The 21,548-nt window shown below is 56.0% G+C and overlaps 1 protein-coding gene across 13 annotated transcripts in view, besides 5 other annotated features; it reads left to right on the forward strand.

Moving 5' to 3' along the window:
* ADAMTS13 (ADAM metallopeptidase with thrombospondin type 1 motif 13) overlaps positions 1 to 21,548 on the forward strand; it is a 45,050-nt gene that overhangs the window by 6,694 nt on the left and 16,808 nt on the right. For 3 of the 13 annotated variants that reach the window (NM_139025.5, NM_139027.6, XM_017014235.2), the window contains exons 1-17: positions 1,337 to 1,518; positions 2,071 to 2,137; positions 3,291 to 3,448; positions 4,499 to 4,582; positions 4,908 to 5,032; positions 5,169 to 5,315; positions 7,604 to 7,741; positions 8,909 to 9,071; positions 11,558 to 11,662; positions 12,348 to 12,499; positions 12,611 to 12,674; positions 15,799 to 15,925; positions 16,719 to 16,867; positions 17,216 to 17,336; positions 18,336 to 18,416; positions 19,314 to 19,495; positions 21,369 to 21,504. In NM_139025.5, coding sequence (NP_620594.1) covers positions 1,414 to 1,518; positions 2,071 to 2,137; positions 3,291 to 3,448; positions 4,499 to 4,582; positions 4,908 to 5,032; positions 5,169 to 5,315; positions 7,604 to 7,741; positions 8,909 to 9,071; positions 11,558 to 11,662; positions 12,348 to 12,499; positions 12,611 to 12,674; positions 15,799 to 15,925; positions 16,719 to 16,867; positions 17,216 to 17,336; positions 18,336 to 18,416; positions 19,314 to 19,495; positions 21,369 to 21,504 — 2,104 coding nt within the window. In that variant the 5' untranslated portion in view covers positions 1,337 to 1,413. Of the gene's footprint in view, positions 1 to 139; positions 949 to 1,336; positions 1,519 to 2,070; positions 2,138 to 3,290; positions 3,449 to 4,498; positions 4,583 to 4,907; positions 5,033 to 5,168; positions 5,316 to 7,603; positions 7,742 to 8,011; positions 9,152 to 11,557; positions 11,663 to 12,347; positions 12,500 to 12,610; positions 12,675 to 15,798; positions 15,926 to 16,718; positions 16,868 to 17,215; positions 17,337 to 18,335; positions 18,417 to 19,313; positions 19,496 to 21,368; positions 21,505 to 21,548 lie in introns of those variants that run through there. The other 10 variants (XM_017014232.2, XM_047422699.1, NM_139026.6 and 7 more) reach the window with 10 other exon arrangements.
* Positions 492 to 631: an enhancer, noted in NCBI's record as "active region_29239". NCBI's record gives its function as "activates an Ori minimal core promoter by ATAC-STARR-seq in GM12878 lymphoblastoid cells {active_cell/tissue: GM12878}" and the evidence as "EXISTENCE:reporter gene assay evidence [ECO:0000049][PMID:35858748]".
* Positions 862 to 911: an enhancer, noted in NCBI's record as "active region_29240". NCBI's record gives its function as "activates an Ori minimal core promoter by ATAC-STARR-seq in GM12878 lymphoblastoid cells {active_cell/tissue: GM12878}" and the evidence as "EXISTENCE:reporter gene assay evidence [ECO:0000049][PMID:35858748]".
* Positions 1,032 to 1,091: an enhancer, noted in NCBI's record as "active region_29241". NCBI's record gives its function as "activates an Ori minimal core promoter by ATAC-STARR-seq in GM12878 lymphoblastoid cells {active_cell/tissue: GM12878}" and the evidence as "EXISTENCE:reporter gene assay evidence [ECO:0000049][PMID:35858748]".
* Positions 7,703 to 7,772: a silencer, noted in NCBI's record as "silent region_20458". NCBI's record gives its function as "represses an Ori minimal core promoter by ATAC-STARR-seq in GM12878 lymphoblastoid cells {active_cell/tissue: GM12878}" and the evidence as "EXISTENCE:reporter gene assay evidence [ECO:0000049][PMID:35858748]".
* Positions 9,693 to 9,902: a silencer, noted in NCBI's record as "fragment chr9:136295843-136296052 (GRCh37/hg19 assembly coordinates)". NCBI's record gives its function as "represses an EF-1alpha promoter that drives an FKBP-Casp9 reporter gene in an ReSE screen in K562 erythroleukemia cells {active_cell/tissue: K562}" and the evidence as "EXISTENCE:reporter gene assay evidence [ECO:0000049][PMID:32094911]".

The raw sequence follows: 21,548 nt of genomic DNA on the forward strand, positions 1-21,548 counted from the left end.
CGAGGCAGTCAGCTCACCTGAGGTCAGGAGTTTGAGACCAGCTTGGCCAACATGGCGAAACCCCACCTCTACTAAAAATACAAAAACTAGCCAGGCGTGATGGCGGGTGCCTGTAATCCCAGCCACAAGGGAGGCTGAGGCAGGAGAATCACTTGAACCTGGGTGGCGGAGGTTGCAGTGAGCCGAGATCGTGCCACTGCACTCCAGCCTGGGTGACACAGCAAGACTCTGTCTCAAAAAACAAACAAAAACCAAAAAGAGACAGGAGAGTCATTCATGCTGATGGAGTGAGCCAGGTACCAGGATCTCGATATCTAAGCATGCCCCCTTCTCCAACAGCCTCCTTACCTTCCTGCATGAAAGCACACCCTTCCCTCCAGTCCCCCATTCCTTTATTCTGCTGTATTTTTCTCCATAACACTTACCACCTTTGAACATACTACATATACAACATGTGTCTGTCTAGCAACTTTGCTGTCTGGCTCTCTTCCCTAGAATTTAAGCTGTGAGAGGCCGAGGCTGCTGTCTGCCTGGCTTGGGGCTGCTTTCCTGGTGTCTAGCACAGAGCCTGGCCTGTTTCAGGGGCTCAGTGAAACATTTGTTGGCTGAAGGAATGAATGAATGGCTCTAGCAGAGGGGCAGAAACTAACGATGCAGGAGGAGAGAGCTGGGAAGGGATCCAGAGCCAGGGCCTGGCAGGAAGTGTAGGTGTGTCCTCCCTGATCGCAGAGGAGGAGAGAGGCTGCACTTTGAGGGGTGGAAAGACAAGGTGAATCCCCCTGCTGGTCATCAGCTTGTGCGGCTCTGTGGGTGTAAAAGAGTGGTTTGGAGCATGTGAAGTGAGTCTTCCAGGAGATGAAGGGGATTGCCAGGCCGTTTGTGATGATGCTGAGATCTGGTGCCGTGCAGCCTGCTTCTGCGACTCTCCTCATCAGGCGCAGGCACAGAGTAGGTGGAGAGTTGAGCCAGAACCACGATGTCTTTGGCACAGCCTCTCATCTGTCAGATGGGAGCGGGGACCCCGGAGAGGGAGTCAGCCGAGGTCCTGGCATTCCTTGTGAACCCCCGTCTGTGGGTTTCTGGTCCAGTGTCCCTTCTCCAGATTAGATGGCTTAGGCCTCCTCTAAGGGGGTGGGCGTGCACATCCGGAGAGCTGTCTGGTGTGCAGGACTGGGCTGCAGGTTACCCTGAACTGCAACCATCTTAGAGCAAGGCCCAGCTTGCAGCAGGAGGAGCTGCAGGCCGCCCACCCTAGCCACGGCCCCTGCCCTGGCAGGAAGCTTCCAAGAGTAAACACTGCCTAATCGTCCCGCCCAGTAGTGAGCAGGCCTGTCCCATTCCATACTGACCAGATTCCCAGTCACCAAGGCCCCCTCTCACTCCGCTCCACTCCTCGGGCTGGCTCTCCTGAGGATGCACCAGCGTCACCCCCGGGCAAGATGCCCTCCCCTCTGTGTGGCCGGAATCCTTGCCTGTGGCTTTCTCCTGGGCTGCTGGGGACCCTCCCATTTCCAGCAGGTGGGCTCATTTGCAGGAGCGGGGGTATTCTGGGAGCCTCTGGGTGGGGTATTCTGAGCTACCTGGGGCGAGGGGAGTGCCAAATAGCTGACTACATCAGCTTTGGGGTTTGCGCTGGGCAGGGGAGTCTGTACTTGGGGCTTTGGGGGATGAAGTGTGCTCACTGAAGAGGGAGTTGGTGTCTCAGTACGACCTGCTCATTCGGTGAAGCTGAACAGACAGATACTAGTTTGTCCCAAACTGTGTAGGTTGCTCTTCTCTGCCTCTCCCTTCCTCTCCCTGTCTCTGATTTCCCCCTCTCCTTCTTGGTTGGCCTCACCCACCTCCTGCCTCCTGTCTCCCTCTTCATCCATCTCTTTTTGTTCTTTTTTCTTTCTCTCTCTCTCTTTTTTTTTTTTTTTTTTTTTTTAAGACATGGGGTCTTGTTATGTTGCCCCAGCTGGTCTCAAACTCCTGGACTCAAGTGATCCTCCCACCTCGGTCTCCCCAAGTGTTAGGATTACAGGCCAGAGCCACTATGCCCGGCCCCATCCATCTCTTTTTGTCTTGCAGAGTTGTCTTCAGGCTTTGGAGCCACAGGCCGTGTCTTCTTACTTGAGCCCTGGTGCTCCCTTAAAAGGTACTTGTCCTGGTGTCTTCTCTCCCGGGGGGAGTTTCTCAGGACTTTCAAGGGGTATCTCACCACTGAGTCAGTGGTCTGGGATTTTTGGTGGATCTGGAAGGAGAAGGTCAGAGAAGCTGCTGTCAACCCTGTTAATTAACTCTGTTACTTCCTGCCAAGTTGATATAAGCTGGTCTGGGTGTTCCAGCCAGGCCAGGGTTCTCACCCTAGCTTCTGTTAAATATCACAAGGGAACGGTCACCGATTGGCTGGCCCCTCCTGCCCCATGGCCTCTGCTGAGCTGGCTGATTTTCAGGAGCTCTTGTGGTTTCTGACCGTGGATGTAAATATTTATTCCTTCTGTGGGAAACAAGATAGGTACTGGCTCAGGCTACCTCCTAAGGCCATGGATTTCCTTATGATAAAGGCCTGTCCCCATTGCCCACAGGCCCATGTCTGTGACCTTCTCCGGTGCGAGCCCCCTTCCCAGTAGGGCCATTGGCAACTTGACTAATGGCTGATGGGGGCCAGAGGCAGGTGGGCTAGTGGTCAGGGGCAACAGGAGGGCAAGGCCCACTTTGTGACCTGGTTCTTTGTGGTCTAGGCCAGAGGCACACTGACCAGTGCCTGGGGCCACGCTGGGGGCTGGATGCAGCCGACGCTGTCTGGGTATCCCATAGCCTGGGTCCTTCCAGCGCTGCCGCTCCTGAAAGGCTGGGAGATCATTGCCCAGGGTCCCTGACCCTCTAAGGGCTCCCTTGGGAGAGGACAGTGAGGGCTGGCCTGGGCCCCTGCTTCCCAAGAGACCACTGGGCTCCACTCGTGTTCAGTTTCCTGTCGGGGTCCATGATGTTACTTGTGAAACACCTGTGCCCAGAGCAGGGTCCAGGAGGCAGGGCAGGGGCTTTCCCCTTTGGGCAGAGCCACCAGGGCAGTGGGAATCTTGTCTTGATGGGGTGACCCAAAGCACACAATAGCCCAACAGCTCCTCCTGGGCCCTGCCCTTTGCGTGCCTAGTCACTAATGGGGTCTGGCTCTTGGGGTGGGGGTGACACGCAATGTCTTGACTTCGGAAGGCCATCCTTCCAAGACCTGCCAGCCCCTTTCCTGTTAGCTTTCCACTGCTTGCTCTCTAGAACCATCGCCCTCTGCTCTCCCTCTCCCCCTCCAGGCCGCCCTCCTTCCCCTGGCTTCCAGAGGCAGAGGCAGAGGCAGAGGCGGGCTGCAGGCGGCATCCTACACCTGGAGCTGCTGGTGGCCGTGGGCCCCGATGTCTTCCAGGCTCACCAGGAGGACACAGAGCGCTATGTGCTCACCAACCTCAACATCGTGAGTGCCCCACGCTGGACTGTGCAGGTCCCCACGGCCAGGGCTGGTGACCAATGTCTGTGGGCTGGTGTATCTGGTAGTCTGAATACAGTGGGTTAAACTCAGGTAGAATGGCTCGGGGTTCTTCCTCTTCTCCCTCCCTCCCCTGGGTGGAGGTGGGTGAGGTCCCACACCCTCTCTAGGCTCCATGGCACATGCACACCCTGCAGCCTCTCACTACTCAAGTCCCTTCACCTGGGGCCACCCTCAAGCCTGGCCTCTTCCCCAGTATCCATTTGACCCCCACAAAGCTCAGCTAAAGCAACCCTGGCAAATGGGATACGGGCTGCTCACACTGCCCTCTGCACCCCGACCCTGCCCTCTCTCCATTCTCTTGTCCCCCGCTCAGAGTGGCGAGGACAGGTCACCCGTCTGAAGTCTAAACAGAGACTGCTGGCAAAGGAGATGCCCACCTTCATTTCTTGCTAGCACCTGAATCCCTGCAGCCCCCCTTCACTTGAAAGCTGGGGAAGGGCGGGCAGGGAAGCACTCCCCCACTAGCCGCCGTCTCAGAAAGACAAACAAGGCCAGGCGCGGTGGCTCATGCCTATAATCCCAGCACTTTGGGAGGCCAAGGCGGGTGGATCACCCGAAGTCAGGAGTTCAAGACCAGCCTGGCCAACATGGTGAAACCCCGTAGCTACTAAAAATACAAAACTTAGCTGGGCATGGTGGCAGGCGCCTGTAATCTGAGAGGAGCCTGCGATCTGAGAGGAGCAGCGTTTGACCGGAATATCCGACTCGTGACCATCTGTGTGCTCTCATCCCCTTGCTTTGGAGTTTGTTTTCCTTGCGTTAGTTGGCCTTCCTGAGCCATGAGCTGAGGAGCAACAGAGGCACGGCTGACTGTGCAGCACATTTTAGGAGCCCCCCGCCCCGCCCGGTTCCCACACATGCTGGTGGAGTAGCCTCTCCAGCTCTTCACACTCCGGGGGCCCCTGGGAGTCAGCAGCTGCCTGGGGCTGGCAATGCCCACCCGACGGGTTACCTCTCTCATCTGCCCTTGCACAGGGGGCAGAACTGCTTCGGGACCCGTCCCTGGGGGCTCAGTTTCGGGTGCACCTGGTGAAGATGGTCATTCTGACAGAGCCTGAGGTAGGCATGGAGCTGGAACTCAGCACACCATACAGAGCGGGAAGCCCAAGTCATCGCATCTCCATCCTCTTTAACCTCTTGTCCCGGATGCCCCAAGCAGCATGGATCACAGAATGCATTCAGCCAGACAGACCAGCTGCCCTCCCAGCTCTACCCAGCACTCAGCACAGGCTGCCTGACTACTTCTCTGAGCCTCAGTTGTCTCATCCCTAACACGGGCTAGTCATAGGGTTGTTAGGAGGACTAACTGGGAAACAAACCGACCGCAGTCAGCACCGTGCCTGGTTGGGGTGTCCTAAATGCAGGCTTTGCTGTGGGTCCGCAGGGTGCTCCAAATATCACAGCCAACCTCACCTCGTCCCTGCTGAGCGTCTGTGGGTGGAGCCAGACCATCAACCCTGAGGACGACACGGATCCTGGCCATGCTGACCTGGTCCTCTATATCACTAGGTAGCCGAGCTTTCTGATGGGTGCTGGCCAGCCAGCCTGGGAAGGCTGCTCCCTCAGCCTCCTGCCCTCTGCAAAGGTGACCCCAGGGCAGGCACGTGCCTTGGCACCACCCAAGTGACTGTTTTCTCTCACCGAGGTTTGACCTGGAGTTGCCTGATGGTAACCGGCAGGTGCGGGGCGTCACCCAGCTGGGCGGTGCCTGCTCCCCAACCTGGAGCTGCCTCATTACCGAGGACACTGGCTTCGACCTGGGAGTCACCATTGCCCATGAGATTGGGCACAGGTATGTAGCCCCACCAGCTGTCCCCAGGATCTGGCAAGGAGCTGACCTGGGTACCCAGGGTGGAGGTGGTCTTGGCAAGCAGTGGGTCCTTGTAGAGTTTCTCCAGAGGAGCCTGTACCCCTCACCCCGACAGACTCAGGTGTGAGGACAGGGGAACCTGATACTGTTTGATTAAAAGAACTTTTTTTCCAAAAGACGAGCAAGACACCTTTAGCAGGTAGAAAATAACTTCTGTAGAAAATTCAGGTAAAGAAAGAGCAGGCTGTAAAAATTATCTCAAATCCCACCATTTAGAGATAATGTCTCTTCACATTTTGTATTTAATTTCAGTCTTTTCTTTACATACACACACATATTTCTTATTTGCAAAATTGGGATTTAGTTTGGATCCCTGAAAAAAAGGAAAATTGTGATTATGCTGTGCATTGCTTTGTTACCTGCTATTTCTTTTTCTTTTCTTTTCTTTTTTTTTTTTGAGATGAAGTTTCGCTCTTGTTGCCCAGGCTGGAGGGCAATGACGTGATCTCAGCTCATTGCAACCTCCACCTCCTGGGTGCAAGTGATTCTCCCACCTCAGCCTCCCAAGTAGCTGGGATTACAGGCATGTGCCACCACGCCCAGCTAATTTTGTATTTTTAGTAGAGACAGGGTTTCTCCATGTTGGTCAGGCTGGTCTCGAACTCCCAACCTCAGGTGATCCACCTGCCTCGGTCTCCCACAGTGCTGGGATTACAGGCGTGAGCCACTGCATCCAGCCTTTCTTTTTTCTTCCTAGGGTAAGTGCAGGATTTACCTGTTCTTTATGTAATAATATATCCCAAACATTATCCCAGGTATCTTAGAGGTGTGCACCGTAATTTATTTAATCAGTCCCCTCTTCTTGGATGTCTAGGTTGTCTGAACACGTCTTCCTGTTGTGAATGTTATGCATTCTTGTGGGCAAACCTTCACTCTTACCTATAACCATTTACCTAGAGTGATGGGTTTCTTTTCATTTCTTTAGTTTTTTAAGTATGAAAATAATACCCAATTGTTGTAAAAATTCAAACAGTGCAGAGATTTCTAAAGTAAAAAGTGAATTTCCACATTCCTTGCCCACCAACCCCCACCCGACCCCTTTCAACCCCTCTGAGCCTGGGAGGGTTGAGGCAGGGTTCCTGGGTGTGGGACAAGGCAGGGCTCCTTCTCCCTCAGAGGGAGCATAGTTCCCTTCTGCTCCTGTGATGCAGAAGACGTGAGCCCCCAAACTGGGGCTTAGCCTGGGAGGGTTCTTGGCTTCACCGAGGAAAGAATTCAAGAGGGAGCAGGTGGTGTTAGACAGCAACTTTGATTGATGTGGCAGTGGGCAGAGTGTACAGCCCTGTGACTGTATACAGCACAGCATAGCCCCTTTTGAAGCCAGGCTACCCCATAGACACTGTGCCCAAAAGAGCAGCTCAAAGGCAGGGCTGCAGTCCTAGTTAATACCCACTTCTAATTATATGCAAATTAAGGGGCCAGATTATGCAGAAATTTCTAGAAAAAGGGCAGTAACTTCTAGGTTTTCGTCATGGAAAAGGGGCAGTAACTTCTGGGTTTTGCCATGGCAATGGCAAACTGGTATGGCACACTGGTGGGCGTGTCTTATGGAAAGGGGCTTCCCACCCCTCCCTGTTTTAGCTAGTCCTCTGGTCCAGTGTCCAAGCGGGGCCTCCAGAGTGGAGTCCACCTCCTACCTCACCGGTGCCTGGCCTCTCCCACCCCATTAGGAGTCCTCCATCAGTTCCGCTTTGGGTAAAGCAAGCTCTGTTGTGACAGTTTGGAAACGGTTCACCTTCCTGGCCTAGGAATGCAAACAATGGCCAAGGGCAAGCACGTTTTAACTGAACTTTAAAATCGTGCTTTCCTCACAGTAGGTGAATTTCACGCTCAACACATCCATGTAAACAGTCCCCAGAGCAGCCCTTCAAGGCCCCGGCCAGTCCCCACCTCCCCACAGACTCCTAACACCATGATTTAATGTGGCTTGCACATTTTTAAAGGCTTTTGATATTTATTAGCAAAAGATGCGAGAGCCACCCTGCTGGGCTAGCGCTCCCTTCTGGGGGAAACTGAGGCAGGGCGCACGCGACCCTCTCCACTGCGCCCAGTTAGCAGATGGCGGCGTCAGGGGTCGACCCGGGTCGGAAAACTCGCTGGCGCTGCGGCACTAGGGCGCCGGGCCGCTGACTCGCCGACCCCCGTCCCGCCCCCACCCCCGCCCCCGCCCCTGCCGGCCGCCTTAGCGCAACTCCCCGCCCCCCGACCAGCTTCGGCCTGGAGCACGACGGCGCGCCCGGCAGCGGCTGCGGCCCCAGCGGACACGTGATGGCTTCGGACGGCGCCGCGCCCCGCGCCGGCCTCGCCTGGTCCCCCTGCAGCCGCCGGCAGCTGCTGAGCCTGCTCAGGTAGCGGCCGCCCCGTGGGAGGGGCGCGCGAGCCTCCAGCCAGCCCGCTGGGCCGCCAGCGCCACCTCTCTCTACGTCCGTCCCCACTCCGCATTCAGCCCTCCTTCCTGTCCCACCCCTCCGTCCAACCCACCCCTCCGTCCAACCCCGCGCCCACCGCTCCGTCCGTGGAGGGGCGGGCGCGCGAGCCTCCAGCCAGCCCGCTGGGCCGCCCGCGCCACCCCTCCCTACGTCCGTCCCCACCTCTCCCTACGTCCGTCCCCACTCCGCATTCAGCCCTCCTTCCTGTCCTACCTCTCCATCCTGACCCACTCCTCCGTCCAACCCCGCGCCCACAGCTCCGTCCCATCCCGCTGCGCCCACTCCTGCGCCCACCCCTCCGTCCCAACCCCTGCACCCACCCCCCCGTCCCACCCACCTGCCCCACCCCCTGCACCTCCCCCCGTGCTGTCCCACTCTGCGGCCACCCTTCTGTCCAACCCCTGCGCCCACCGCTCCGTTCCACCCCCTCCCTGCGCCCACCCCTGCGTCCTCCCTCGCCCCCTTGCGCCCACACTTTCGTTCCAGCCAATCTGGGCACGCACCCCTCCGTCCATCCCCATCCCGCCCCTTGACTCCACATACACTCCCTGGTTCTCTCCCACTTGCCTACACCCACCCCTGCATCCTACCCTCCTCCATCCACCCCTCCATCTCAGCCCCCTGCACCCACCCCGTTCCTGGGCCCACCCTGTTCCTGCACCCACCCCCTCACTTCACCCCCTTACCCTTCGTCTGCCTCCACCCGCCCCTACCCCTCCGTCCACTCTCCACGCTCCATCAGTCCCACACCCCTATCTCCCCCACCCGCGTACATGTATCCCTGCGTCCCCTTCCCGCCGACCGCACCGCTCCCGGGCCTAACCTGCATCTGCTCCATCCCACTCAGACCCGTCCCTCCGTCGCCGCTCCCTCTGCTGGCCACCCACCTCTGCGCCGGCAGGAGCCTTAGTCTTGGTCCCAGCCAAGAGCCGGCTCCTGGTGGGGGGCGCGGGCCGAGAACTCCTGTTCCCACTCACAAAAGGCCACGCTTCCAAACGCTTCCATCCTCGTGCCCACTCCTCCGTCCCGCCTCCTCCCGGTGTACACCCCGGGACTGAGCCGGGCCTGAGCCGGGCCTTGTCGCAGCGCAGGACGGGCGCGCTGCGTGTGGGACCCGCCGCGGCCTCAACCCGGGTCCGCGGGGCACCCGCCGGATGCGCAGCCTGGCCTCTACTACAGCGCCAACGAGCAGTGCCGCGTGGCCTTCGGCCCCAAGGCTGTCGCCTGCACCTTCGCCAGGGAGCACCTGGTGAGTCTGCCGGCGGTGGCCTGGGATTGGCTGTGAGGTCCCTCCGCATCACCCAGCTCACGTCCCCCAAAACGTGCATGGTGAGAACCTGCTGGGTGCCGTGCTAGGCTGAGGTACTAAGCCAGGGCGGCTTAGTTTAATGCTGTCTGTGCCCTCTAGAAATTATTTAAAATGTTTGAACAAAAGCTCCAACATTTTTGTTTGACTGGGCCCCACAAATTATGTAGCTAGTCCTGGGAGGGCCCCTGTGCCCAAGGACTCCTGGCTGAGTGAGGACACCAATCTTAAACAGTTACCAAGGACTTCCCCATCTATTGTGGCTGGAGTCAGACTGGAGGGCTTCCTGGAGGAAGTGGCCTCTAAACTGAACCCACAGCAGAAGTGGGGCTGGTAGGGGGAGGGGAGATGAAGGAGAGCAGGCACCCCAAAAGACAGACTTCCTCGCAGGATTGCATAGGACATTCATGGGCTCCAGGCACTTTTGCCTTGATGGGCCCCTTCCTCCACAAAAAAATTGAGAATTATGTTTTAATATTCTTATACAATGTATAAAGTTTTATGTGTTACTATAAATACAAGTCTTTTTTTTTCCTATTTTTTTTTTTTTTTGAGACAGAGTCTCCCTCTCTGCTCACTGCAGGCTCCGCCTGCCAGATTCACACCATTCTCCTGCCTCAGCCTCCCGAGTAGCTGGGACTACAGGCGCCCGCCACCACGCCTGGCTAATTTTTTGTATTTTTAGTAGAGACGGGGTTTCACTGTGTTAGCCAGGATGGTCTCGATCTCCTGACCTCGTGATCCGCCCGCCCTGGCCTCACAAAGTGCTGGGATTACAGGCATGAGCCACAGCGCCCCGCCAAGTCTTTTTTTTTAAATTCTTTTGAGACAGGGCCTCGTTCTGTTGCCCAGGGTGGAGTGCAGTAGCACAATCATAGCTCACTGTTGCCTCAACTTCTTGGGCACAAACGATCCTCCCACCTCGGCCTTGGAGTAGCTGGGACTACAGGCACATGCCACAATGCCCAGCTAATTTTTAAATTTTTTGTAGAGATGGGGTCTCCCTTTGTTACCCAGGCTTGTCTAGGACTCCTGGCTTCAAGCCATCCTCCCACCTTGGCGTCCCAAAGCACTGGGATTACAGACATGAGCCACCACCCACGCCTGATCAGCAAATCTATTAATATTATATATTACAACATTAATTTTGACCTGGAAGTTCATTTTTTCATTTTTTTTTTTTTTTGAGACAGAGTCTCACTCTGTCACCCAGGCTGGAGTGCAGTGGCACAATCTTGGCTTACTGCAACCTCCGCCTCCCAGGTTCAAGTGATTCCCGGGCCTACGCCTCCCGAGTAGCTGGGACTACAGGCATGTGCCACCATGCCCAGCTAAGTTTTGTATTTTTTAGTAGAGACAGGGTTTCATCATGTTGGCCGGGCTGGTCTCGAATTCTGACCTCAGGTGATCCGCCCGCCTTGGCCTCCCAAAGTGCTGGGATTACAGGATAAGCCACCACACCCAGCCTAGTTCATTTTTTTCTTCTGATTTTATTTTATTTATTTATTTATTTTGAGACGGAGTCTCGCTCTGTCACCCAGGCTGGAATGCAGTGGCTCAATCTTGGCTCACTGCAAGCTCTGCCTTCAGGGTTCAAGCCATTCTCCTGCATCAGCCTCCCGAATAGCTGGGACTACAGGTGCCTGCCACCACACCCGGCTAATTTTTTGTATTTTTAGTAGAGATGGGGTTTCACTGTGTTAGCCAGGATGGTCTCGCTCTCCTGACCTCGTGATTTGCCCGCCTCGGCCTTCCAAATTGCTGGGATTACAGGCGTGAGCCACAGTGCCCGGCCTTTTTCCTTCTGATTTTAAAAGAAATTAGGCCAGGTGTGGTGGCTCACGCCTGTAATCCCAGCACTTTGGGAAGCCAAGGCAGGCGGATCACCTGAGGTCGGGAGTTTGAGACCAGCCTGACCAACATGGAGAAATGCCATCTGTGCTAAAAATACAAAAAATTAGCCGGGCGTGGTGGCGCATGCCTGTAATCCCAGCTACTCGGAAGGCTGAGGTAGGAGAATTGCTTGAACCCAGGAGGCAGAGGTTGAGGTGAGCCAAGATCGCGCCATTGCCCTCCAGCCTGGGCAACAAGAGCGAAACTGTCTCAAAAAAAAACAAGAAAGAAAAATAAATTAAAACATTTGCCTCTTGAGCTTCAAGTCAGTGACAAGTTAAGAAGGAAAAAAAGAAAAAAGACACAAAAAACACATTTCCATGGGCCCCCAAAAGTGTGACAGGACCTGGTCATGGTCCCGGTTCCCCATCGATGGGTCAGTCATGCCTTGTCCTCTGAGGGCACCAGTGCCCACGGTGCAGAGTGTTGGCTGTGTCAGTGTGTCCTGCAGTCTGGGAGGGACAGTTAAGGTTGGACACTGGCCTGGAAGGCCCTGGTGGCCCCTGAGCTCGCCACCCACCTGTCCACCCTCCTAGGATATGTGCCAGGCCCTCTCCTGCCACACAGACCCGCTGGACCAAAGCAGCTGCAGCCGCCTCCTCGTTCCTCTCCTGGATGGGACAGAATGTGGCGTGGAGAAGGTCAGAGCCAAGAGTGAATGAGTGGGCTCCTGTGAGCACGTGCACGTGGGTGCCTCCAGCCAGGCCGCCCTATTCCTAGGTCAGGAGGCAGGACCAGTATGGGGCAGAGAGTCTTGGAGTTGGCCTTGGGGACTGTCCTTTGGGTTGGTGGTCTGACCTCTTTCCTTTAGCATTTGCTCCCATGCAGAATGGGAATGTGGGCTGCCTGTTGTATGGGGGGTGCCCATGGGTGTGGGGTTCCTTTGGGTGGGGTCCCTGTGTGAAGGTCCTTGTGGATATGGGGTGTCTCGGGGGGGATCCCTGTGTAAGGGGTCCCTGTGAGTGTAGAGTCCCTGTGGGTGGGGTCCTTATGTGTGTGTTGGAGGATCCCTGTGTGTTGAGGGGTCCCTGGGGGGTTCTGTGTGTATGTTGGGGGGTCTCTGGGTGTTGGAGGATCCCTGTGGGTCTGGGGGATCCATGTGGCTGGGGTACCTGTGTGTTGGGGGGTCTCTGTGTGTGTTGGAGATCCCTGTGTGTTGGGGGATCCCTATGGGTGAGTTCCTTGTGTGTGTTTGGGGGTCGCTGTGGGTGGGGTCCCTGTGTGTGTTGGGGATCCCTGAGGATGTTGGGGGACTCTCTGTGTGTGTTGGGAGTCCTGTGGTGGGGTCACTGTGGGATGGGAGATGAAGCCATCCTTGCCTTGCAGTGGTGCTCCAAGGGTCGCTGCCGCTCCCTGGTGGAGCTGACCCCCATAGCAGCAGTGCATGGGCGCTGGTCTAGCTGGGGTCCCCGAAGTCCTTGCTCCCGCTCCTGCGGAGGAGGTGTGGTCACCAGGAGGCGGCAGTGCAACAACCCCAGGTACCGCAGGGAGGGTGCTTTTCTGTCAGGGAGTGTGGCCATACCATAGTCCCTAGTTGAAGGCAGTGGTCACCCTGCTCTCTCACCCTCCTGTCTGCTGGGCATTTTCAGACCTGCCTTTGGGGGGCGTGCATGTGTTGGTGCTGACCTCCAGGCCGAGATGTGCAACACTCAGGTAGGCCTGCTTCCTGGGGTAGGAGGGGGCAGCTGGTGGCACCGGGCCCTGGGGGAGCCAAAGTGACCATCTGTGGTTCACACCAGGACACATTTGAGAAGGACATTGGGGCCAGGTGAGGTGGCTTATGCCTGTAATCCCAGCACTTTGGGAGGCCAAGGCAGGTGGATCACCTGAGGTCAGGGGTTCAAGACCAGCCTGGCCAACATGGTGAAATCTCGTCTCTACAGAAAATACAAAAATTAGCCGGGCGTGGTGGTGGGCGCCTGTAGTCCCAGCTACTCGGGAAGCTGAGGCAGGAGAATCACTTGAACCCAGGAGGTAGAGCTTGCAGTGAGCCGAGATTGGGCCATTGCACTCCAGCCTGGGCGACAGAGTGAGACTCTGTCTCAAAAAAAAAATAAAAATTAAAAAAGAGAGAGAAGGACATTGGGACCCCAGTTCATAAACCAGGCCAGTCCTGCTGATGCCCACAGAGCCCCTGAAGCGTCCCGCCTCCCTCCCTGAGTGCCACTTTGCCCTCCAGAGCGCATCTCTGCAGGGAGAACCTCCCCACTAGGAATACAGTGCGCTGCTGCATGCCTGCAAAGGAATTTTTTAAATATTATTTTTATTTTTTTAGACAGAGTCTCTCCCTGTCACCCAGACTGGAGTGCAGTGGTGCTATCTCAGCTCACTGCAACCTCTGCCTCCCAGGTTCAAGCGATTCTCCTGCCTCAGTCTCCTGAGTAGCTGGGACTACAGGTGCCCGCCACCACGCCCGGCTAATTTTTTGTATTTTTAGTAGAGGAGGGGTTTCACCGTGTTAGCCAGGATGGCCTTGATCTCCTGACCTCGTGATCCGCCTGCCTCGGCCTCCCAAAGTGCTGGGATTACAGGTGTCACTGCGCCTGGCCGAAGGAGTCTTTTATTTATAAATTGAGGTGACATTCATGTAGCATGAAATCAAGCATTTTAAAGTGGCAACTCAGTGGCCTTTAGTACACTCACAAGGTTGGGCAAGTACTGCCTCTGTCTAGTTTCAGAACGTTTCCAGTACTCTGGAGTACTCTGGAGTGAACCCCATATGGTAGGCTGTCACTCCCCATTTCTCCTCCGCCACTCAGCGGCCATTGGTTTCCCTTCTGTCTCTGTGGATTGACCTGTTCTAGACATGCCACGTACCTGAGGCCAGACAACAGGTGTGCTTCCTGCCTGCCTTCCTCCCCCAGCGGCACGTCCCCAAGGCTCACCTGTGTTGTAGCCTGTGTCAGCGCCTCATTCCTCTTTCTGGCTGAATCATATTCCACTGCAGGGATAGACCACATTTTCATCCAGTCGTCTGCTGATGGACATCTGAGGTGTTTTCACCTTTTGGCTCCTGTGAACAGAGCCGCTGCGAATGTGCTTGTACATGTTTGAATCCCTGTTTTCAATTCTTTTGGCAGTATGCTGAAGAGCGGAGTTACTGGATCGTATGGGAATTGTATGTTTGACTTTTTTTTTTCTTTTTTTTTTTTTTGAGACAGAGTCTTGCTCTGTCGCCAGGCTGGAGTGCAGTGGTGCAATCTCAGCTCCCTGCAACCTTCGCCTCCTGGGTTCAAGCGATTCCCCTGCCTCACCTTCCGGAGTAGCTGGGATTACAGGCACGCGCCACCATGCCTGGCTAATTTTTTGTATTTTTAGTAGAGATGGAGTTTCCACCACGTCAGCCAGGATGGTCTGGATCTCCTGACCTCAGGTGATCTGCCCGCCTTGGCCTCCCAAACTGTTGGGATTACAGGCATGAGCCACCGCTCCCGGCCTATGTTTGACTTTTTTTTTTTCTTATTTTTTTCTTTCTTTCTTTATTTTTTTTTTTTTAGAGATGGAGTCTCGCTCTGTCGCCCAAGCTGGAGTGCGGTGGCGCGATCTCGGCTCACTCTAAGCTCCGCCTCCCAGGTTCACCCCATTCTCCTGCCTCAGCTTCCCGAATAGCTGGGACTACAGACGCCCGCCACCACGCCCGGCTAATTTTTTTTTGTATTTTTAGTAGAGGCGGGGTTTCACCATGTTAGCCGGGATGGTCTTGATCTCCTGACCTCGTGATCTGCCTGCCTCGGCCTCCCAAAGGGCTGAGATCACAGGCGTGAGCCACCGCGCCCAGCATGTTTGGCTTTTAAAGAAACTGCCAAACCGTTTTCCACAGTGCCTGAACTGTTTCACATTCCCACCAGCATTGCGCCAGGGTTCCAGTTTCCCCACATCCGCTGCAGCACTTGCTGTTTTCTGTTGTTGTTTTTTCTTTTCTCTTCTTTTTTTTTTTTTTTTTTTTAATAGAGATGGGGTTTTGTCATGTTGGCCAGGCTGGTCTTGAACTCCGACCCCAGGTGATCCGCCCACCTTAGCCTCCCAAAGTGCTGGGATTACACGCGTGAGCCATGGCGCCCGGCCTGTTTTCTGTTTTTTGATTTTGGCCATCTCGGTGGTATGAAATGGTAGAAAGATTCTTTTTACATTGAGTTAAATTCTATCTCCTGCTTCGATGGCCCTGGGTGTGGGTTTGTCCCTGGCTGTATTACAGTTCTGCATGTGGTGAGACCCTCCCTTTCCTCCTTCTCCAAATGGACCACCAAGACCTCCCCAGACCGTGAGGGGAGGGTCTTTGGCTGGAGCACAGGGTGGTGGGATTTCGTGGAGGCAGTGTGGTCAGTGTGGCTGTCCAGGGAGTCAACTCCGGTTATCTTCTGTCAGCCCATAAAAGTCCAAGACGCCTGCCTGAGTGCAGAGGCTTCGGTGGTGAGGTCTTTGCTCCATGCTTTGGTTACCTGCCTCTAGGTGCACTACCTAAAGAATACACATCCCCGTCCCTGTTTTATTGAGTTCAGGCCTTGGAAGCAGAGGCTCTGAGCGTAATGCTCTTTCCTGGCTTTCTTCTTCGTTGCTGCCCTGTGTTCTTTACGGATTCCCCGGGGTTTTCCCATCAATAGAGAGAGGCAGGCACTTTTGTCACCCCAGTTTACAGAGCAGGGAACCGAGGCACGGCCTGGAGCTGAGGCCACACCCACATCTTGATCCTGTACTGTAGGGTGCCATGTAGTCTCCCAGTGACAACACCCGCCCCCCGCCCCACCGCCATCCCCCTCCTCTGCCTCCTCCTGGCCAGGCCTGCGAGAAGACCCAGCTGGAGTTCATGTCGCAACAGTGCGCCAGGACCGACGGCCAGCCGCTGCGCTCCTCCCCTGGCGGCGCCTCCTTCTACCACTGGGGTGCTGCTGTACCACACAGCCAAGGTGGGGCCTGCGGAGTGTGGGGTTGGGGGAGGAGCCAGCCCTGGAGACCCTCGGACAGGGCAGAGTCATAGGGGGGTTGGCCTACTATCCCTCCAGCACTGGGCAAAGTGGTTCAGGCTCTGGCATCCCACAGACCATGGATGACATAGTGGCCAGGCCTCGCTGGTAGATCAGGCACTGACATCCCATCTCTGAGTCTCAATTTCCCATCTGTGAAATGGAGATAATAGCAGTAGGTCCCTCCCTGGGCGCTACAAGGATTCAGGGAGATAATCGGAAAATGCCAAGTGTGTTCCTTGGTTCATGATACTTTTTTTGTGAGACAGAGTCTTGCTCTGTCGCCCAGGCTGGAGTGCAGGGGCGTAATCTCAGCTCACTGTAACCTCCGCCTCTGGGATTCAAGGGATTCTTGCCCCTCAGCCTCTCGAATAGCTGGGACTACAGGCTTGCACTACCATGCCGGCTAATTTTTTTGTATTTTTAGTAGAGATGGGGTTTCGCCATGTTGGCTAGGCTGGTTTCAAACTCCTGACGTCAGGTGATCCGCCTGCCTCGGCTTCCCAAAGTTCTGGGATTACAGGCATGAACCATTGCGCCCAGCCTTGGTTCCTAATTCAATACCATTAATTATTAGATTAGATTAGGATCGTGATTAGGATTATTGCCTTAGGAGGTGGGATGTGGGGAAGATAGAAACCCTTGCCCCAGATGCAAAGGATGAAGCTGGGTGGGGGCTGGGGGACTTGCCCCTCCTGCTCGGTTCAGGACACCCTTTTTCACTCTGCCCTCCCAGGGGATGCTCTGTGCAGACACATGTGCCGGGCCATTGGCGAGAGCTTCATCATGAAGCGTGGAGACAGCTTCCTCGATGGGACCCGGTGTATGCCAAGTGGCCCCCGGGAGGACGGGACCCTGAGCCTGTGTGTGTCGGGCAGCTGCAGGGTAGGCGTGTGTGGACATTGGCGATGGCCCTGGGGCCTACCTGTCCTATCGGAAGGCTCCTGGGGGCAGGTTGGTGGGTGCTGGCCCTGATGGAGCTGCAGTGCCCTCTGCAGGGGAGTGGTGCTGGGGAAAAGGATCTGGACTTGGAGTCAGCCTGGGTTAAGGGCTGCAGTGTGACCTTGGGCAAGTCACTGAGCCCTCTAAGCTTGCTTCCTGTGTAGATGGTGGGGTGCTATAGAAGTGTTGCTGGTTTTGTGGATCCCAGAATCTCAGAGCTGGCAGGGCTGCAGAGTCATTGAGGCCAGCACCCTCCAGTGACACGGGCCCTCTGTCCTTCCCTTTGCATAGACATTTGGCTGTGATGGTAGGATGGACTCCCAGCAGGTATGGGACAGGTGCCAGGTGTGTGGTGGGGACAACAGCACGTGCAGCCCACGGAAGGGCTCTTTCACAGCTGGCAGAGCGAGAGGTAGGCGGCCTCCCTCGGGGCAGAGGCTGGGCTTCCCCCAGCCTCCAAGATGGCCACAGCCCAGAGCGTTGGTGCAGGGGCTGCTCAGGTCACAGGGCCTGCACACTCACTCAGCCCTGGATGCCTCCTGTGGTGTCAGCGTCTCCCTCTTCCACTTCGCCACCCTTCTGTGGCAGGCTCAGGTTTTGGCCTTGATGCTGCTGGGACTGTGGTGCCTCAGTAATGGTCACTCACTGTAGCCGTGCTGCAAAAAAAACACAGACATTGGCCGGGCGCTGTGCTCACGCCTGTACTCCCGGCACTTTGGGAGGCTGAGGCGGGTGGATCACCTGTAGTCGGGAGATCACCTACAGCCTGGCCAGTATGGTGAAACCCCATCTCTACTAAAAATACAAAAATTAGCTGGGCATGATGGCGGGCGCCTGTAGTCCTAGCTACTCAGGAGGCTGAGGCAGGAGAATTGCTTGAACCCAGGAGGCAGAGGTTGCAGTGAGCCGAGATCCCTCTGCACTCCAGCCCGGGCAACAGAGTGAGACACTGTCTCAAAAAAAAAAAAAAAAAAGTATGGACGTTGTGCATTCTGTGGCAGCTACCCTCTTCTCTCCTGCTCAAGAAATCCCACTGAGAGGGACACAAGTGAATGAGAGGGTTGGTAGTTACATTTGGAAAATCTTTGACTTTGGTGTATATATGAGGTCAAAAACCATTTGCAAATGCCAGTGCTTCTATGGAGAGCAGAGACTTGAGCCCTGCCTCCCTCTGGCTTGCCCCACTGTGCTGGAGAACCTTGGACCCGGTCCCTTCTCCCAGCCAGGGCAGAGCCTTGGCAGGTGGTCCTCCAGCCTGCTTTTAATTGCCCCCATGACAGGGGACTCACTGCTGCTGGAGCCAGCCCCATGGCATTGTTCAATTTTTCCCGACCAGCTAAGATCAGCTCCCTTTGTCTGTGGTGTGGTGGCTGTGAGGTCCACGCATCTCTCCTTCTTTTCTTCTTTCTAGAATATGTCACGTTTCTGACAGTTACCCCCAACCTGACCAGTGTCTACATTGCCAACCACAGGCCTCTCTTCACACACTTGGGTGAGTTGACTGGAGGACTCCCACCCAGTTAGCTAGACTGCAAAGGTGCAGAGCACTGTTGCCAAGATGCCCTCACTTCTGACATCACCCGCAAGTTCAGGGGGTTCCCCAAACCACCCTCAGGCTTGATAGTTGACTAGGAAGACTCCCAGAGCTCACTGAGAGCTGTGGCACATGGCTGCGGCTCCTTCCAGAAGAACACAGGTTAGAATTGTCCAAGGGAAGAGATGTAGGCAGAGTCTGGGAGGGTCCAACCAGGAGGCCTGATGTCTCAGGGATGTGACACCCTTCTAGCATTGGAGCGTGGCCATACGCATGGAGTATTGCCCACACAGAAAGCCCACTGAGTGGGAGTTGAGAGTTTTTCCTGGGGTTTGAGTGCAAAGACATGATTGACTAATTGGCCAGGTGGATACTCTCAGTCTCTTGGTGACCCAGCCCCTATCCTAAATCACATAGTTGGTCTTTCTGGTACAGCCAGCCCCTGCCCTAAAGGAGGACACTTCTGCCTGGTGTGACCCGTGTTTCCTCTTGGAAGCCAACAGCAAAAGCTGGACTTCTCTTTGGGCAAGGCCCGCTTCTTTGCTATTGAGGGCCACAGTGGGTCTTTCTGGAGTGTGTCTGCACCTAACCTTTGAAGCCTTGGTTGCCGGCACTTGCCATGGGGTCCCTGAGCCCTGAGCCTGTTGAGTTCTGTGCGTGAGTGCACTTGGTCATAGCACTCACCAGGTTGTGGAAAGAGGCCTAGAGCCTCCGCTGTGGGGAAGCCTCTAGCTCAGATGCCTGTGGCTCCTTAGAGGAGGGCTGGGGACCCCGGGAAGGAGAGTCACTGACATGTGCCTGTGAGGAGGATGGGTGCTCAGCTCCACACAGCTAACAGGGCTGGTTCCCCGACAGCGGTGAGGATCGGAGGGCGCTATGTCGTGGCTGGGAAGATGAGCATCTCCCCTAACACCACCTACCCCTCCCTCCTGGAGGATGGTCGTGTCGAGTACAGAGTGGCCCTCACCGAGGACCGGCTGCCCCGCCTGGAGGAGATCCGCATCTGGGGACCCCTCCAGGAAGATGCTGACATCCAGGTCAGCAGGAGAGCCTGGGGGAGGCCAGTGGGGGCTTCTTCTTGGGGGCTATGGCTGCTTGCTCGTTTGTCTATCCATCCATTCCCTGATTCGTTCATTTATTCATTCAGCGGTCACTTACAGGGGACCCACTATGTGTTGGGCCCTGTGCTAGGCAAAATGTAGCTAGCTCCTCCAGGGGCTTAGGGTCCCACAAATATCCAAATGTGCCTGTGCCCAGAGCCCGTGGGAGAAGGCCCTGCAGTTCTGGGATCAGGTAAGGTTGGAGGGCCCAATGCAGGGGTCCAGGGCTCCCTGGGAAAGAGTGATGGAGCTGAGGTGTCAGATGAGCAGATGTTGCTGGGCCAAGCAGGGAAGGAAGCGTATGGCTGAGGGAACAGTGTCAGTGTGGGAGGGATGAAGGAAGGTCCTACTGTGTGGGTTTGTGGGGAGATGAAGGCATGGACGCAGGTGCAGTGGCATCTGGGGAGTAGGCCTTGGTGCTGAGGAAGCTGAGAACAGATGCTGGCTCTCACTGCTTCTTTGGTGCAGTGTGTGTGGGAACCGGAAGGCCTTGTTCAGGCGTGTCCTCAGTGACGTGTGCTCGCCCATGTATGTCCCCATTGGTGCTTCGCTGAGGAAGGCACGTGGAGGGTGGAGAGACATAAGCGCAGGCTGAAACAGACCTGAGAACCTTGGGAGAGGGGCCCAGTCTCAGCGGCCGGAGCAGCGTCCTCTGCCCCTACAGCAGCCAGAGACAGGAGGGCCTCCCACAGATCAGGCCAGGCCGGGCCAAAGCAAGCCCCTGTGAGCGGCTTATCCCTTCTCTTCCCCTGATATGGTTCCCTTCCTCCCCTCCCCTTGCCTGGGACATTGTATCCAGATGCTAGCTGCCGAGTGGCTCTCCCATCATCCTCTGCAGTGTGTAAAAAAGCAGATTCCCGGGTCCTCTGCATATTCCCTGAATCAGGACTTCCCTGTGTTGGGCCTGAGAAACCGCACCGTAACCAACACAGGCTTGCGGCACTGGCCAGATGTGGGCATCGAGGGGGCAGGTGCGGAATGTCACCTCGCCCTGGGCTCTGGCCTCCAGGCTGGCCTCTTTCTTGGGCTGGTCTTGGGCACAGGACCCAGTTACCCTCCTGAAGAGCCTTAGGCCCAGGAACCTGCTGAAGTTCTTCCTAGTGCTCTCCGGGCCAGTCCCAAGCCAGTAGCTGGCCACAGGTCCCCAGGGATCCAGTTTCTTCCTGCCGACCCTACCACAGGTCCCCAGGGATCCAGTTTCTTCCTGCCGACCCTACGGGCCTCAGCTCTGGCTCCAGAAGCACTTTCTGTGCTGGCCCTGCCCTAGCCCTTCTTGGGCTCCTTAGCCCAGCCTAAGGTGGGCCTGCCTCCTCCACTGCACTTTATCCTCTACCCAGCCAGCTTAGGGAACCTTCTCTGTGCTGCCCAAATACCCTATCATGTAACCCACCAATGACTTGGTAATTACCTCCCCGAGCCCTCTATCCCAACCCACTGAGAGCTCCTTGCAGCTCAGCCAGTGTCCTGTGCACTGTGCTATCCCCAGAGCCTGGTACAGGTCAGTGTTGGTGATTGCTTCCCGTTATTTTTGTCTTTGTTGTTTTTTTAGAGAGGGTCTCACTGTTGGCCAGGCTGGAGTGCTATGTTGCCCAGGCTGCTCTGAAACTCCTGGGCTCAAGTGATCTGCCTGCCTCAGGCTCCCAAAGTTTTGGGTTTACAGGCATGAGCTACCGTGCCTGGCCAGTGATTGCTTGCTGAACGAAAGATTATAGGGATGCAAGAAGAAGTTGGAAGGCTTCCCAGGGGAGGTGGCCATGACAGTGACCCTCAGGGAACCCACTGGACAAGGCCTGAAGCTCTTTGTCTGCAGGTTTACAGGCGGTATGGCGAGGAGTATGGCAACCTCACCCGCCCAGACATCACCTTCACCTACTTCCAGCCTAAGCCACGGCAGGCCTGGGTGTGGGCCGCTGTGCGTGGGCCCTGCTCGGTGAGCTGTGGGGCAGGTGAGACCTGGGGAAGGCTCATCCACAGCACGGCTTGCCCCTGC

The sequence above is a fragment of the Homo sapiens genome, chromosome 9 (genome assembly GCF_000001405.40).
Source record: "Homo sapiens chromosome 9, GRCh38.p14 Primary Assembly".
Classification (NCBI taxonomy): Eukaryota; Metazoa; Chordata; class Mammalia; order Primates; family Hominidae; genus Homo; species Homo sapiens.